The sequence below is a fragment of the Homo sapiens genome, chromosome 18 (assembly GCF_000001405.40).
Source record: "Homo sapiens chromosome 18, GRCh38.p14 Primary Assembly".
Lineage (NCBI taxonomy): Eukaryota > Metazoa > Chordata > Mammalia > Primates > Hominidae > Homo > Homo sapiens.
This window is the reverse complement of record NC_000018.10, coordinates 49,976,585-49,990,200: the sequence shown is the minus strand read 5'-3', so window position 1 is coordinate 49,990,200 and position 13,616 is coordinate 49,976,585. Positions and strand designations below refer to the sequence as shown.

Genomic DNA, 13,616 nt, shown 5'->3' with positions numbered 1-13,616 from the left:
TGTTTTGCATGGCATGGAAGTCTTTTCATGCTTTATTATTCTGAAAGATATGTTTGCACTTTAAGCATCATAGGAAATGTGTCCCAAACCTAAGAATCTAGAGATAAAAGTAATATACATCATATAATCATAACCAGCATGTTTTAACTCATAGTTTAGGATTGAGGCAAAGAGAAAGGGGTGAGGATAAAGCAGAGAATAAAGCAGGGGTGGCTCTAGAGCCATATGGATGCAGTATGGCATGGCCACAGAGGATAAGAGGGGGCTCTGGCATGTGAGACTCTGGACTGCCAGGCCATCTGATCTCTCGTGGACTGGCATGGAAGCTTCTAGCACATCCTCACTGGAGGGAGAGAGATGGAGCAACCCAAACTGCCTCTCCACAAAAGCTGAGGGGATAAGGCACTTTGTCATCATCCCCATCAGATGAGCACCACCCTTTGTTTCCACTCCTGCTGCTTCCTGAGGGGTGTTAGCAAGTTTCATTTGCTTTGAGGCTATTGATGTGGAGCCAGTGGAGTAGTGAGCAGGCTTTAGTTCTTGACTCCATACCACAGAGCAGCTCTCCTTGGGTCTGGAGCCTTTGGCCCTTCTCTGTGTGGGTCCTTATGGGGTAATGACTGATTTTTGCTGCTGAGTCTTCAGGCACATATGTGTAAAGAGGGCAAGCCTTGAGCCCAGCAGCGTCTTGGTGTCTGCCACACTTCCTGCCATGCTTCCTGTCCCTGTCCTGCTGTCCGTGTTTTGGGGGCATGTGGGGAGGTCCAATACTAGCAGATGGTATGAAGATCCGGGTGTCTAAACAGAGTAGTTGGTCTTTGTGCAGCTGTGCAAGAAACAGACATCTGAGGCTTGGCTGTTCCTGATCCAAATCCTGGCCATCCTAAGAGTCCAGCACCAGACCCATCTGTGCTCCCAGTAGCTGAAATCCATCAAGTGGTTTCAGCGCAAGTCTGCCCTCATAACACTTGCTTATGAATCCCTGTATCTTCAATGCTTGTACCATGCAACTTAGCAATAATTCTTGCGTTTGTTCATCAAACTCTATTCAGGCCATGTTAGGCCCCAGGGATCCTGCATTGAGCAAAATAGTTGTGGGTCCTACCCTGCTTAGCTTGTCAATTATGATGCAGAGTGCTAAGGGCTGTGCTGAAGGAAGCAGAGCTGAGGAGGGCTGGGAGGCTCCCCCCAGGAAGTAATATTTAAATTGGGACCCCAGGGAGAAAACTCTGGCTGATGTCCATTGTTAGTTATGTCCTGTTCTCCAGCTGGTCAGTGCTTGCAAGTCTGATTTTCCCCGGAACACGATGACATGATAAAATCCTTGAGGACAAGGAGTGTGTGTTCCCTGCTAAGCAGAACAGGGGCTGAGCACTCTTTGCACACTGTCCTGAGCTGGAGCCTGTGGCTCTGAGGGTGCCTGTCACTCTCAAGCAGCCAGGTATGCCTCCACATTAGGGGCCACTGCCATCCTCCTCTTTCCTTCCCAGAGCAGAACATAGGCCTAGCAGGGCTTTTCGGGGCCAACTTGCAGGAGGTGAAATTTTTTTCCCTCAGGTCAGTTTTATAGAAAATAAACAAATATTGGCAAGACCCATCTGGATGATTTGGATCAGTTGTCCCAGTTGTAATTCTAAGGTAATGGGGAAGAAATCCTCCTAAATTTCTTTTTCAGTTACATGAGTCATATTGAGGTTAAACATGATTTCCCCTTATTCCCTGTCTCTGCAAGGTACATGGGCCCCAGGCTGCAGCACTTGAAAACTACCCAATTTGATCAGTATTTTTTTCCCACTCTTTCACCTTCATGTGCCCTCTGAGAATATTTTGGAGTGAAACAAGAGCCTTTGACAAGCGCTTGTGCTCTGGTGTCAGGCTGTCCTCGGCCTCATGGGTGGATTGGCTGAGGGCCCTGAAGCTTGGCATTTAGGTCCACTAATAACCCTAGTCGAGTAGCTGAAAACAGCAAATACATGGACTAGCCAAGGGCTCTAAGTGAATATTTGGACCTGCTTCATATCCTTCTTCCTCCTCTTCACCCAAAACACGCAATTCAAATGCACACAAGTCTCTGCAAGACCCCTTGGCTTGGCGTAAGTTTTGTGCATTTGTCTGAGAATGGAGGGTGCAGATTTGCATCCAGTTGTCCACACTCTTCTGCCCCATTGTTGGGCCATTGCATTTAAAATGACCTCAAGAGGAGATTTTTTTTTTAAAGTCCAATGAATAATTTGTTAAGGTGTGAATAAATGATGGTAAAAACCATACAGGCCAAGGTCAATACCCTAGAATAATCTCCTGGCCCTTTTGTGAAGTAGCTGCACTCTACCTTCCACTCACAGCTTATTTCCTCCCCATCTCTGCCTTCCAGATACACCAATCTCTGGTGGTACATCCAGTTGTAATGGGCCCATTTTCCCTTAAATACAGCCTTTAGGGGATAAGAAGTAAATTCCTTTTCTTCTTTTTCATTTCCGTGGTTGTATGGATAGTTTTATAAACAACCTCTCTGGCCTTGCATAGGTCAGAGCATAGCCTCCCCAGGTGATGTGCAAGTCCATGACCATGGCCTTGGTGGTCCGGTGCTCTAATCACTGGGTTCATGTTCTCCTCTGTGTTCTTTTGACTGCCTGATCCAATCTCTGCCTGTTGAACTAGTTAATAGGAGGTTTGTGGTACATTTCTCCTTGGGAATTCTTTGTAAAGAGAGAGACCTAAACTGGAGGATGAGAGAAGTTGCTTTGGGATGGGATAGTCAGTGTTCAGCTTTATGGGCCTGAAAGGAGGGCTGCGATCCAGGAAAGCCAAGCAGGTGGGGGAAGACTGAGTCCTATTTGGATGTACCTTACTAAGAGGGTCCAGAGAGTGATATGACGGAGTTGATGGCAGACCTTAACGCATATGGAAAGATGATCATTTTGATTGGTTTCAGATCATTCAGTAGAAAATGCTGTAACTGACCCAGGTGGCCCCTGCAGTGACAAGCCTCAGTCTGAGGAAGTTGCCCAGCTGGGCCTGAGTTGGGGAACTGGGCCTGAGTTTGGGAACTGGGATCTCGGAAGGCGGGGTGTCTATCTGATTCGTAGCAACATCAGGCAGTAGGACCTTGGCTATTGACAATGAAAGGTCTTCGAAAGATGCTGAAAATGCCTTCCCTCTAATATGAAAGTCTAGTCTCCTCCTTTGGAGTCTCAGGTGACTCTTTCTGATGTGTTTGGCTGACACTTGATGATGAGTTAGTTTGTATTTGTGGCAAAATCATGAGATGCCATAGATAAATTGTCGTTTTTCTACAATAGGGTAATCAAGTAATGGAATCCCAGGCCTGACCAAACCCTGGGTGACCCTGGGCACCCCTTAAACCCCATGTTACTCAGTTTGCTTTTCTGAAAAATGGGAGTAAATAATATAGACAGTCTTCTTTGGTGGACACTGTAAAAATAATCAAATGAGATACTTTGAAAGGTGAGTGTAAAGGGAAAAAAATTGGTACTTTTATTAAGCCTTTGAAACTGTTGTATTGCTCTGTGCCGGTGCTTGCTGAGTGATTAGGTAAGAAAGAGCTAAAATGCTGTCTTCTACAAAGATCTGATGTGGTTTTCCTCATTAAAATGTGCTTCTGCCAAGGCTGTGAGTGACCACAGGGCTGGAGTCCTTCCTCTCTCAGTTCAAGTGCCTTGGCCACTGGTCCTCAGAATTTGTTACTCCTCCAGGAAACCTTCACTCATAGAGTACAACTGATGTTCTCATTATTTGTGCCTGTGGGCAGGGTCACCTGGTGGTTATAGTTCAGGTTGTGTAGTCAGACTGGGGTCTAGGGCTGAGTTCTGTCTCTCCTTGCCTGGCCTGTCCATGTATGCATAATAGACTTGGAGGAATGGGCAAAGCTCAGTATGGCTTGGAGCATAGGATGCAAGGTGGGAAATGGGGGGAGGTGAGGAAGGAGAGGTAGGCAGAGACCACTGAAGGCGTGGACAGAGGGAAGAGCTGATGCATGATAATAAGGAAACTGGTGTATCTGGAACATAGAGATGGGGAAGGAATAAGCCATGAGTCTGGAGGGTATGTGGTGGCCACTTCACAAAAGGGCCAGGGGCTGTTCTAGGGTATTGACCTTGGCTTTGTGAGCAGTGGGACCTCTCAAAGGGCTTTTTAAGCAGAGTGGGTGGTATGATCAGACATACTAGCATTTTCGAGGTGGATTTGAAGGGACGGGTGCAGAAGCAGAGAGATTGGAATAGTGTCTTTTTCAACAGTTCTGACAATGGAGCTGAAGGGCAATGGCAATCAGGATGGAGAAAGGAGAGAGACTTCAGAAATTCTTGAGATCAAATTGCAAGGACAGGTGTTGAAGGAGCACTGGGAGTTGCAGTGAAGCTGCATCTAAGCACCTTTAGCTGATGTGTTTCAGCCCTGCATGCTCAGGTCCAGGGAAAAGAACTTAGGGTTTTCAGGGAAGAGGGAACTTGGCCAGTGTCTCCTTTTGACATTCTATCAAAACCAAACGTTATACACTTAGAGCATGAAGTGCCAGGCAGGATAGTACCAGGCAGGATCACCATACAAGATACTATATTTTGTGAAAGATTTAATCAGTTTTTAAGGGTAACTTCGATTACATGCAATTGTTGCCTTAAATGCTCACTTTTAAGCCCTGCTTCCTCCTAAGCACTAATTCTGCCGTCCTCTTTGTAGGGCAGATACTACCCAGGGCTTGTTGCATTTGTGTCCTCTTCTAAGCTTGGCTCTGAATTTTAAGACACCACCTGGGCCCTTCCTTACCAGCTGTCCCCTAGGCTGTTACCAGAGGCCTGACTGAAGAAGAATTAAGCTGGGGGATGACAGCAAACATGTAAGGGTATCAACCTGCATTTGTGCATGTGCCCAGAGAGTTCAGGTGTGCCCAACTTTGTAAAACAAGTGAACAAAAAAACTGTCACCTCGGGCACATCACTGTTCCTCATTTGTCAAATGAGCTTGTCGGACTGAGATTATGTAAGTCATAGAAGTCTGGTTCTAGGGTGGGGATACATTTTACTTGTATCAGATCTTTTCAAAAACAAATCTGTGATGAATCCTATTAAACTGAATTGTCTGTGACGTATATGCCTTTTGTGTTAACATATGTTTCCCGTGCCAGTTTTACATAAATACAGCAGCACATTTCTGTCAGTGTCGTATAATTTTCTTGTACTATTCAGTTTTCTCTCCCATTTGCCGTTGTGGATAAAGACTATTTTAAAGAGTTTCACATCCAGCTGGGCCTAAAATTTAGTCTGGGATAGCATGCTAACGGAGTAGAATTTTCATGGGTCACGATCTGTGGGATGAAGTGTCCTCCAGTGCCTCATGCCTTATTTCCTCGCCTCCCACAGCAAGTGCAGAGGACTTTTTCTATACATCACAGGGAGGAGACACTTCCATCGAGGGTGTGGACGATGCTGAGGACTTTGAGAAGACTCGACAAGCCTTCACACTCCTCGGTAAGGAGCTTCTTAGTTGGGGAAGCAGGCCCCGAGGGCTGATGGCACGGAGGGTAGAATGCAAGGCGATGTCCCACTGTGCTTGCCAGCAACCTGCAGGAGCTAATGGGAGATGCCCTCTTGCCCCTGGTGAATGTCATCTCTTACTCTCTTACCCATCCCAACCCTCAGGCTCTAGAACTTAAAATTTGGAGCTTCATTGCCTTTTAAAAAATAAGGTTATGAGAGTCCCTCTCCCAGGCACTGTGCAGTGACCCTTTCCACTCGTGCAGGCTGTTGGAACCAACGGAGGCAAAGCAAGTGTAGCCACGTCTTCTCGTGCTGTGGTCTGGGCTCAAGTGTGCTCTAGCAGGAAGAACACAATGTTGCGCACACCCAGTGCACCTGTGCACCACAGCATGAAATCAGAGTTGGAAGCAGGCTGTGAAGGTCTGGCAGCTGCATCACACATACAGCGTTAATTCTGTCAGCTCTGTTTCCATATAGAGCTTTAGCGTTGGAATCCTTCAAACAAGAAGTTCTCTGTCCTTCAGGGGCATAAGGGGACAGTATGACTGGAGGAAATTGCCCTGCTTCCCTGCCACTTTTGGGGGAGAAGCGGTAAAGTAGAAGGTAAGCCTTTCTCAGTTGGGAAATTGAAGTGTTAAATTCCTGGGACCTGCATCCAGAAAAAGGAAAGCTCGAGAAGTCAGCCTGAAACCCCAAGTGGCGCAAGATGGTGCTTGTGTCTTCCCCAGCCCCTTCTCTGAAAGAGAACATTTGGCTTCTGAGCCATGTGACTAACCCAGAGCAGCATGTTAGGTTCTTTGGAGGTCAGGGAAGTTGTAGCCAATGTCCAAATAAAACATGGTCAAACGGGACACACCTTAACCTCTCTATGGGGAGGCAACCAGACCCTTATTTGCCACGCTCCCAGAGCCAGTCAGTTCTCTGGGAAACTGGTACATAGTTCATGGGTACAAAAGACAAACCCTATCTATCAGTCAGGAGACACAAACCACACTGGTTATTCCAAAATAGAAAAATTAATATAAACAATTGTTAACTACAGCAGTAGCAGGTGATTGACTACAAAAGGGATAAATGAGGACTTTATAGAGGGTCCAGAAGTAGCAGGTACAAAAGAACATCTGCTATTCCTGGCAGGGGCCGGGATGGGGTGGTGGGGGAAGAACAGCCAATAAAGGTAAGAGAGGCCTCCATCCTAGCTGAGCTTTAGTTCACTTCTAAGAGGATGTGATGAAGAAACTTGCCCAGAGGATGCAGGCCAGAGCTGTTTTGTACAAGCAGGCTGCAGGTGCCCCAAGGTGTAGGGGGCCAGAACTGCTCAGAAGCCACTGCTGATGGGGAGACAGGTCTGAGGGCAGAGCTGGAGCTCATCTGGAGGTTTCTGGGCTCCCTGATAAATCATGATAACTATGGAGGACCAGAACCAGAAAGGGAATTGTCTTCATGTTCTGTTGCCTTGCAAATCGCCGGAATACCCTCTATTGAGCAAGCTTGACATTCTACCAGTAGGCAAAGGAGAAATGTTTACAGGGCCCAGCTTCAGTTTGATAAAGCAGGGCAAAGGGGATGCTTTGAAGCTGAGAGATAAGTTGATAACTGGCATCCCTGACTTCCTCAGCACTACATGCCTATCCTAGTCTCCAGAGTTGGGCAGGTTTGGAGCAGACTTGACAGTGTGCAGGATACATTCTTCTCTGAATTTATCAGAGAAAGGAGAAGATCTCTGGCAGCTGCCCTTGTAGTGCTGATGTGGGCAGTGGGCACAAGCTGATATAAGGAGAGGATTGCTCCCTCCAAGGCTCTAAGGACACTGGATACTTTAATGCTCAAAGCAAATTGCTTTTGTAAAACTAATTATTGTAATAAGACTTTCTTCTCTATTCTTTAATAAACATGTCCCTTTTTTAATTGCAGGGGTTAGCAAACTTAAAGGACAAAATAGTAAATTTTTTTAGTTTTGTGGGCCATACAGTTTGTTGCAAAGCATTCAACTCTGCTGTTTTGTGAAAGTAGCAATAGACAGAACGTAACAGAGTGGGCATGACTGTGTTCCGATAGAACTTAGTTATGAAAACAGGCTGTGGGCCATAGTTTGCCAACCCCTGTTTTACTCCTTAGGTTTGTTTGATTGATTTTTGTTTTTAGATTTTTTGCTTCCCATAGCGTGAGGTACCACTTATTCAAAGAATCCCACAGCAGGAAAGGATGTTCTCATCAATGTAGTGCGAGGATCCTAACTATTGTTAGGATTCAGTATTCATTCTGTGTCTACCACTTAAATTCCTACCATGACAGGGTGGTTCGGTCTTTGGAAATTGACAGAGCATTGGTTCTCAAGAGTAAAGGAAGTAGGCCAGGTACAGTGGCTCATGCCTGTAATCCCAACACCTTGGGAGGCTGAAGCAGGAGGATTGCTTGAACCCAGGAGTTCTGGGCAACACGGGAGACCCTGTCTCTACAAAAAATAAAACAAATTAGCTGGCCATGTTGGCACACACCTGTCCCAGCTACTCAAGAGGCTGAAGTGGGAGGATTGCTTGAGCCCAGGAGTTTGAGGCTGCAGTGACTGTGCCACTGGACTCCAGCCTGAGCAACAGAGCAAGACCCTCTCTCAAAAAAATAGATAAACGAAGTAGAAAAGCTACTGTCTAGGGAGTATATCCTTCTTGTTCCGTGATGGTACCAGCACCCAGCTCCTGTCTAGCACTTTCAATGGGACTTGACTTAAGAGCAAGATACTCTAAGCTCAGACAAAAAACCCCAGTGTTTTACCTCCTACAAGGGTGCATAAGTGCCTAGCTTCCTGTCTTGTCCTGAATACCAGCCTCTGGCTTTAATCTGTCTTCCTTTCACCAGGTGTATTCAGTTATGCTGAACCAAGATGGACGCTTAAATTCTTTGGTGTTTTTTGGGGGGGATTTTTAAGCTAATACCACGTATTCAAATAATGCATATGTTTTGATAGCTGCAAATACTTGCAGCCTGTGTAGTAGCCAGCGATCCGGTCATTCTACCATTCAGGTTTCTGAGCACCTGCTATGTTCCAGGCAGTGTTCAAGGCCCTGGGAATCTAATGACAAGCAAGAACAGGGATTCATTATATTATTTACTTTGTTATTCTTTACTTTGTATGTTTTGAAATTTTACATAATAAAATCAAAAAAGTAAATCTATGATGCTTACATGGTAGTGGCCATCTAACATAAAAGCCTAGAGTTAATGTTGCTTGGGTTGTCCACTTTGTAGATTATCTGGGGAAATTTTTTAATCCTAGCATGGCACATCTGTGCCTCCCATTTTTACAGGTGTTACTGTTTTTTAGCCTGAATAAAATATTGCCTTAAAAATTAACTGCAGCTGGGAGGAATGGGGAGAGCAGCTGTATTTCTTAAACTAAGTGGAAGGTTCACTGGTATTCATTCTATTGTTCTGTAGTCTTTTAAAAATGAGTCTGAATCATTCTGTAAAAACGCCAATGCCTTGCAAGCTAAATACAAATTAAGAGATTATCCATGCCTTTGATGATTCGTATAGGTAAATAACAAATCTGACAACACGTGATTGCTGCCACAGTGGTTCTGGGATCAGTGTGCCTGCCTATGACAGTGCATATAGTGTGGCGAACAGCTGCTCCATCTGGGGATGGCCAGGGGCCAGCTGGCCATCCAGCCCCAGAACAGCAATCCCAAGAGAAGTTTCTCCTTTTCTTCCCTCATTGGCACTGGGGATGTGTGTCACAGATGTTTACAGGATATTATGTTGGAGAAAAAATGATTGCAGATACATGACCATTCTTATTAAACTCATAAAAACATCCATAAAGTGTTTGGTTGAAATGAAGCCCAAAATGAGCCTGCAGGATTGCTGCCTCTGCTTTGCTCTTTGAGAAGTTAAAATGGCAGCTTGACCCATCTGATTTGGTCAGGACGATCATAGTGAAGATATTTTCTTTTTAGTCCAAGGAGCCCCTTTGCCCTCTGAGCTGTTACTGTGAGTGGTAATTACTTGGTGAGGAGCCTGGATCATTTTAGGAGTCATCGGGTCAGAAAGAAAAATCAAACCTTATTAAAAAAAAAAATGTCCTTAAAAGGGGTAAAATGTCCTTTCTGTCCGACCATGGATACTGAGTGTCATCCATTCATTTTTCTTTTCCAGGAGTGAAAGAGTCCCATCAGATGAGCATTTTTAAGATAATTGCTTCTATCTTGCACCTTGGAAGTGTGGCGATTCAGGCTGAGCGTGATGGTGATTCCTGTAGTATATCAGTAAGTTGCACACCAACACCGGAGATAAAATGAACACAATTTACCCTGTTCTTTGATATGACTGAAATGTGTCTTTCCAGTTAGAGGACACTCATAGGTTATTTATTCTTAACAGTAATGGTTTCTGTTCACTTGCTGATAATTTTTTAAAAGAGCCAACCCTTTAAAAATCAGCTGCCATCAAGTTTCTGTTGCCGAGGACAGGGAATGTAGTGGCTATTTGATAAATTCTTTTTGTTGGGTTGATTTCCCAAGTACCCTGAAGTACACAGAATTCTACTTGTTGTCAATCAATTGAGTACTTTCTGAGTGCCAGACTGAGGTCCCCACTGCAAGGAGATGAAAGGGCACAGGGCACTGTACCTGGTGATGCTTCAAAGGGGCTTATAGTCTAATTGGGTGGACAAGACAGGTGGCAACCCTTGCCAAGATTCTGACAGCACAAGGCAGGCTGTTAAGTGAGACACACATGTGAAAGTACTGCAAGCTGTCAAGTGCTCCGTGAAGGCTCATAATGAAGGTTATTTTCCTGATGCCCAATGTAGTACTGATATGTGGTAGGTAAATGTCTAAGTGGATGGACGGGTGATGGAGTAAGCACCAGGGAAGTGGCACCCACAGCAATTGCTGTGCCTTCTGGAATTTAATGGTGTTGGGAAAAGCTAAAGCTGGTATTCTAACCTTGGATAGGTGAATCTGCAACTGTTTATTCTATACCTCTTATGCCCATTTATGGCCAGGTTCTGGGGAGGTACAAAGTATGATTCTTGCTTCCAGGGACTTGGAATTTAAATAACCAGACACTGGAAAAATACAAAAGACAACACTACCTGAGGGCACGTGTCCATGCTGCTCACAAGCTAATGCTTATTCAATTGAGTGGACGTAAATTAACCTCCTTCTGTTTGTCTAGAGTTGGGGGTTATGAGAAGTTCAAACTGGCCCTGTCTTCAGGGAGAGGAAGACCTGAACTGTAGCTGGGATTCAGTAGAGCTCATTGTGTATCATCCATGGATGGATACACAATCTGTGGGGAATGATCTAGGGTTTGAGAGGGCCCCTGGGCCTGTCTGGCCTGCTGCCATCCCTGGCATGGACTCTGCAGCCTCGTGAGAGCCTTGAAGCTCCCCTGTCGGGCCCAGTGGAAAAGGAGGAGGTGTTGGTGCTGGTAGCGTTAGGTGCCCTGGAGCTGTTTTGGACATCTGCTGCTTATATACCTGTGTGGGTGCTCACCTTAGGGGGAAGGAGGGCATGGTACAGTGGAGTTGGCAGCAGTGATGCCATGAGAAGGACTGTCATGTTCAGAGGAGGACCTGTGGCCCAGGGGGTGGTGGAGGAACCTCCAGTGCAGGACAAACCTTCCCGTAATCTGAGTCTTCAGGGCCAGTGATGTATTGTCCCAGTGTCTTTCCCCTGATAAGAAAGGCATAGAGCATCTGTGCCTCCCCATGCATACAGCTCAGTCAATGTCCTGTGGTTCCTCAGGGCAGCTGTACTCTGTGTCAGGGACAGGTGAGATGAGGAACACCTGCAGTGACCAAGGCCTGGCTGAGGCTGGTAAGAGGCAGGAAAGGTGACAGATGTGCTCTGTGGTCTGTGGACCTCCAGCCCGCCCAACACCCTGCTCCTCCCCAGGCCCTTCACAGGTCACTTCTTCTTTCATGGGTTCTTACCTCTCCTCTGTGGGGCTGAGCATTTTGTGTGTGTGTGTGTGTGTGTGTGTGTGTGTGTGTGTGTGTGTGTGTGTGTATTACTTGCTGCCTACCTTTCTCCTTTGTGACACTCCAAACTCTGAAAGAGTAGGGTCAGTTCTCGCTCTTTAGTCTATCACCAGCATCTATTGTGGTGCTCAGCACTCACCAGGTACCCAAGAAGTAGATGGGTGGATGACTGAGGCTCTCCAGGCCTCAGGGGTGGCACACAGGAGAGTAAGAGTGGATGGGCAATTCTGAGATCTTAGTGAGGCTGATGGTTAGCATGAGAACCAGGGCTGGGGAGTCCGTGGACACCTACCTGCATTGGGGGGCGAGACCAGCAAAATTAAGGCTTAAGCCTGTAAGTGAAGTGTCTCTGATCTTATAGTTGACCCTCCACACCCAGCCTCCGGAGAACGTTCAGGTGAGAAGGGAAGTGAGTGTTTATTAGGACTGTATCTGTTGGGCTCACTGTTCTCCCTCTAGTACCCACTGAGTGTTTGTGTGGAGATAGTATGAGGGTGGGAACATCAGGGCCTCTTAGGGAGGCATGGATGGAGGATGCAGGTGGTAAAGGGGGCAGGAGGGAGGAGGCCTGAGAGGTTGAGGTTTGGATGCTACCTGGTGTGGCAGCCCTTTCTCTGCTAGGCGGCAGGAAGTTCCAGAAGGCATTTGAGTGCAGGTTTGTGGTCTAGGCTGGTCTTCCATTGTTCTGCAATCAGAGCTGTACAGAGAGCTAGTGGACAGCAAGGACTCTAAGTCGAGATGGCCAAGGTTCATATCCTGATTCTTCTTGCTGGATGTGTGACTTACGGCAAGTGTGCTAACCTCTCTGTTTCCTCTTCTGTAAAGTGTGGATAACCACCTGCCTCAGGGCTGGAGTGAAGATCCCAGAAAGCCCTGTGTGGAAAGGTTTTAGCACAGAGCTCGTGGTTGAGAGAGTCTTTGTCTAATATCAGCCTTGTTATAGCCTGAGTGGACCTTAAGAGCATCCCTCTTGCTGTACAGGGGAGGAAAAAATAAGGCCCAGAGAGGGGAACCTCTTTCTCTGAGGTTAGAATGACAATGGCAAAGGTGGGACAGGGCCCAGGCAGTGTTCAGTCCACTTCACTCCTGCCAGCCTGGCTTCCTCGGCTGGACTACAAGTCCTTGGGGAGGAGACTGCCCTCTGCTTGCCTGGTGAGCCCCATTGGTGCCCTCACAGTGCCAGGCACAGAATGTGTGCTTGAGAAATGCATCGTTAATAGTTGCTACCGAGAGCCCCACTGATTGTGGTTTATTCCTCGGGCACATAGGATGGAGCTTCTATTGGAAAGGCTGTCTTTCCATACGCAGTGTGCCTTCTGCTCAGTAGTTTTTATTTTTAATTAAAGCATGAGAATGTGCTCCATGACTGCCAGGGTTGCCTTGGAGATGCAACAGCATTCAATTTGTTTCTTGAATTTAGCAATATGGGCCCATAAAACTGATCTGCTACTTATTATATTGGCTATTTTTAATGGATTTAGCATCATTTAATTTTGCCTAAATGTAATTGTACGATGTTAAATCAGTTTCAGTCAGCACCTTCAATCAACAGTCGGAAGAGGGTGAGAAAATCAAGCCCCGCCCCACTGTGGTGGTTAAAAGCCGGTCCCCAGGGTGGTTTCTCAGACAAGTCTCTAACTTGTGCTTTCTCCACTGCACTCACAGCGCGAGGCCTTAGGCAGGGGAGGGTGCCCGTGGGCATGTCTTGGGCAGTCATGGTAGCTGCTGGCAGGCCACTTAAATGTCAGGGAATCCATCTGCAGTGCCGTGCCTAGCAATTAAGAATTTCTTGGAAATAGGTCAGATGAACAAATTGGACGCTTGCCACCTCTGAACTTGTTGCCTGCCAAGCGGTCCCCAGGCACTTAACTCTACTACATATGGCTTTATGTTTAGGGGAGTCGGGGAGCAGGGGAGACAGGTTGGCTTCAGAGAAAAAGGATCTTGGCCAGGAGAAGTAGCCATGGAAACTCTCTGCTGAGTGTGAAAAGATGGGGGCTTCTCCACACCCACCCGGCCCAAACCAAGCTGATTGTCCTGCAGGGCTGGGGTTAGGAGCTCTGGGCCAGAAGGCAGGAGGCCTCACTCAGCTTCATCTGAATAGTAAGGGACATCGGATTAGAATGCAATTTCTTAAG

The 13,616-nt window shown here is 46.5% G+C and overlaps 1 protein-coding gene across 1 annotated transcript in view; it reads left to right on the top strand.

The window, feature by feature from the left end:
• The window catches only part of MYO5B (myosin VB), a 372,359-nt gene that overhangs the window by 204,947 nt on the left and 153,796 nt on the right, over nt 1–13,616 (top strand). The window contains exons 8-9 of the mRNA NM_001080467.3: nt 5,376–5,483; nt 9,648–9,757. Coding sequence (NP_001073936.1) covers nt 5,376–5,483; nt 9,648–9,757 — 218 coding nt within the window. The remainder of the gene's footprint in view (nt 1–5,375; nt 5,484–9,647; nt 9,758–13,616) is intronic.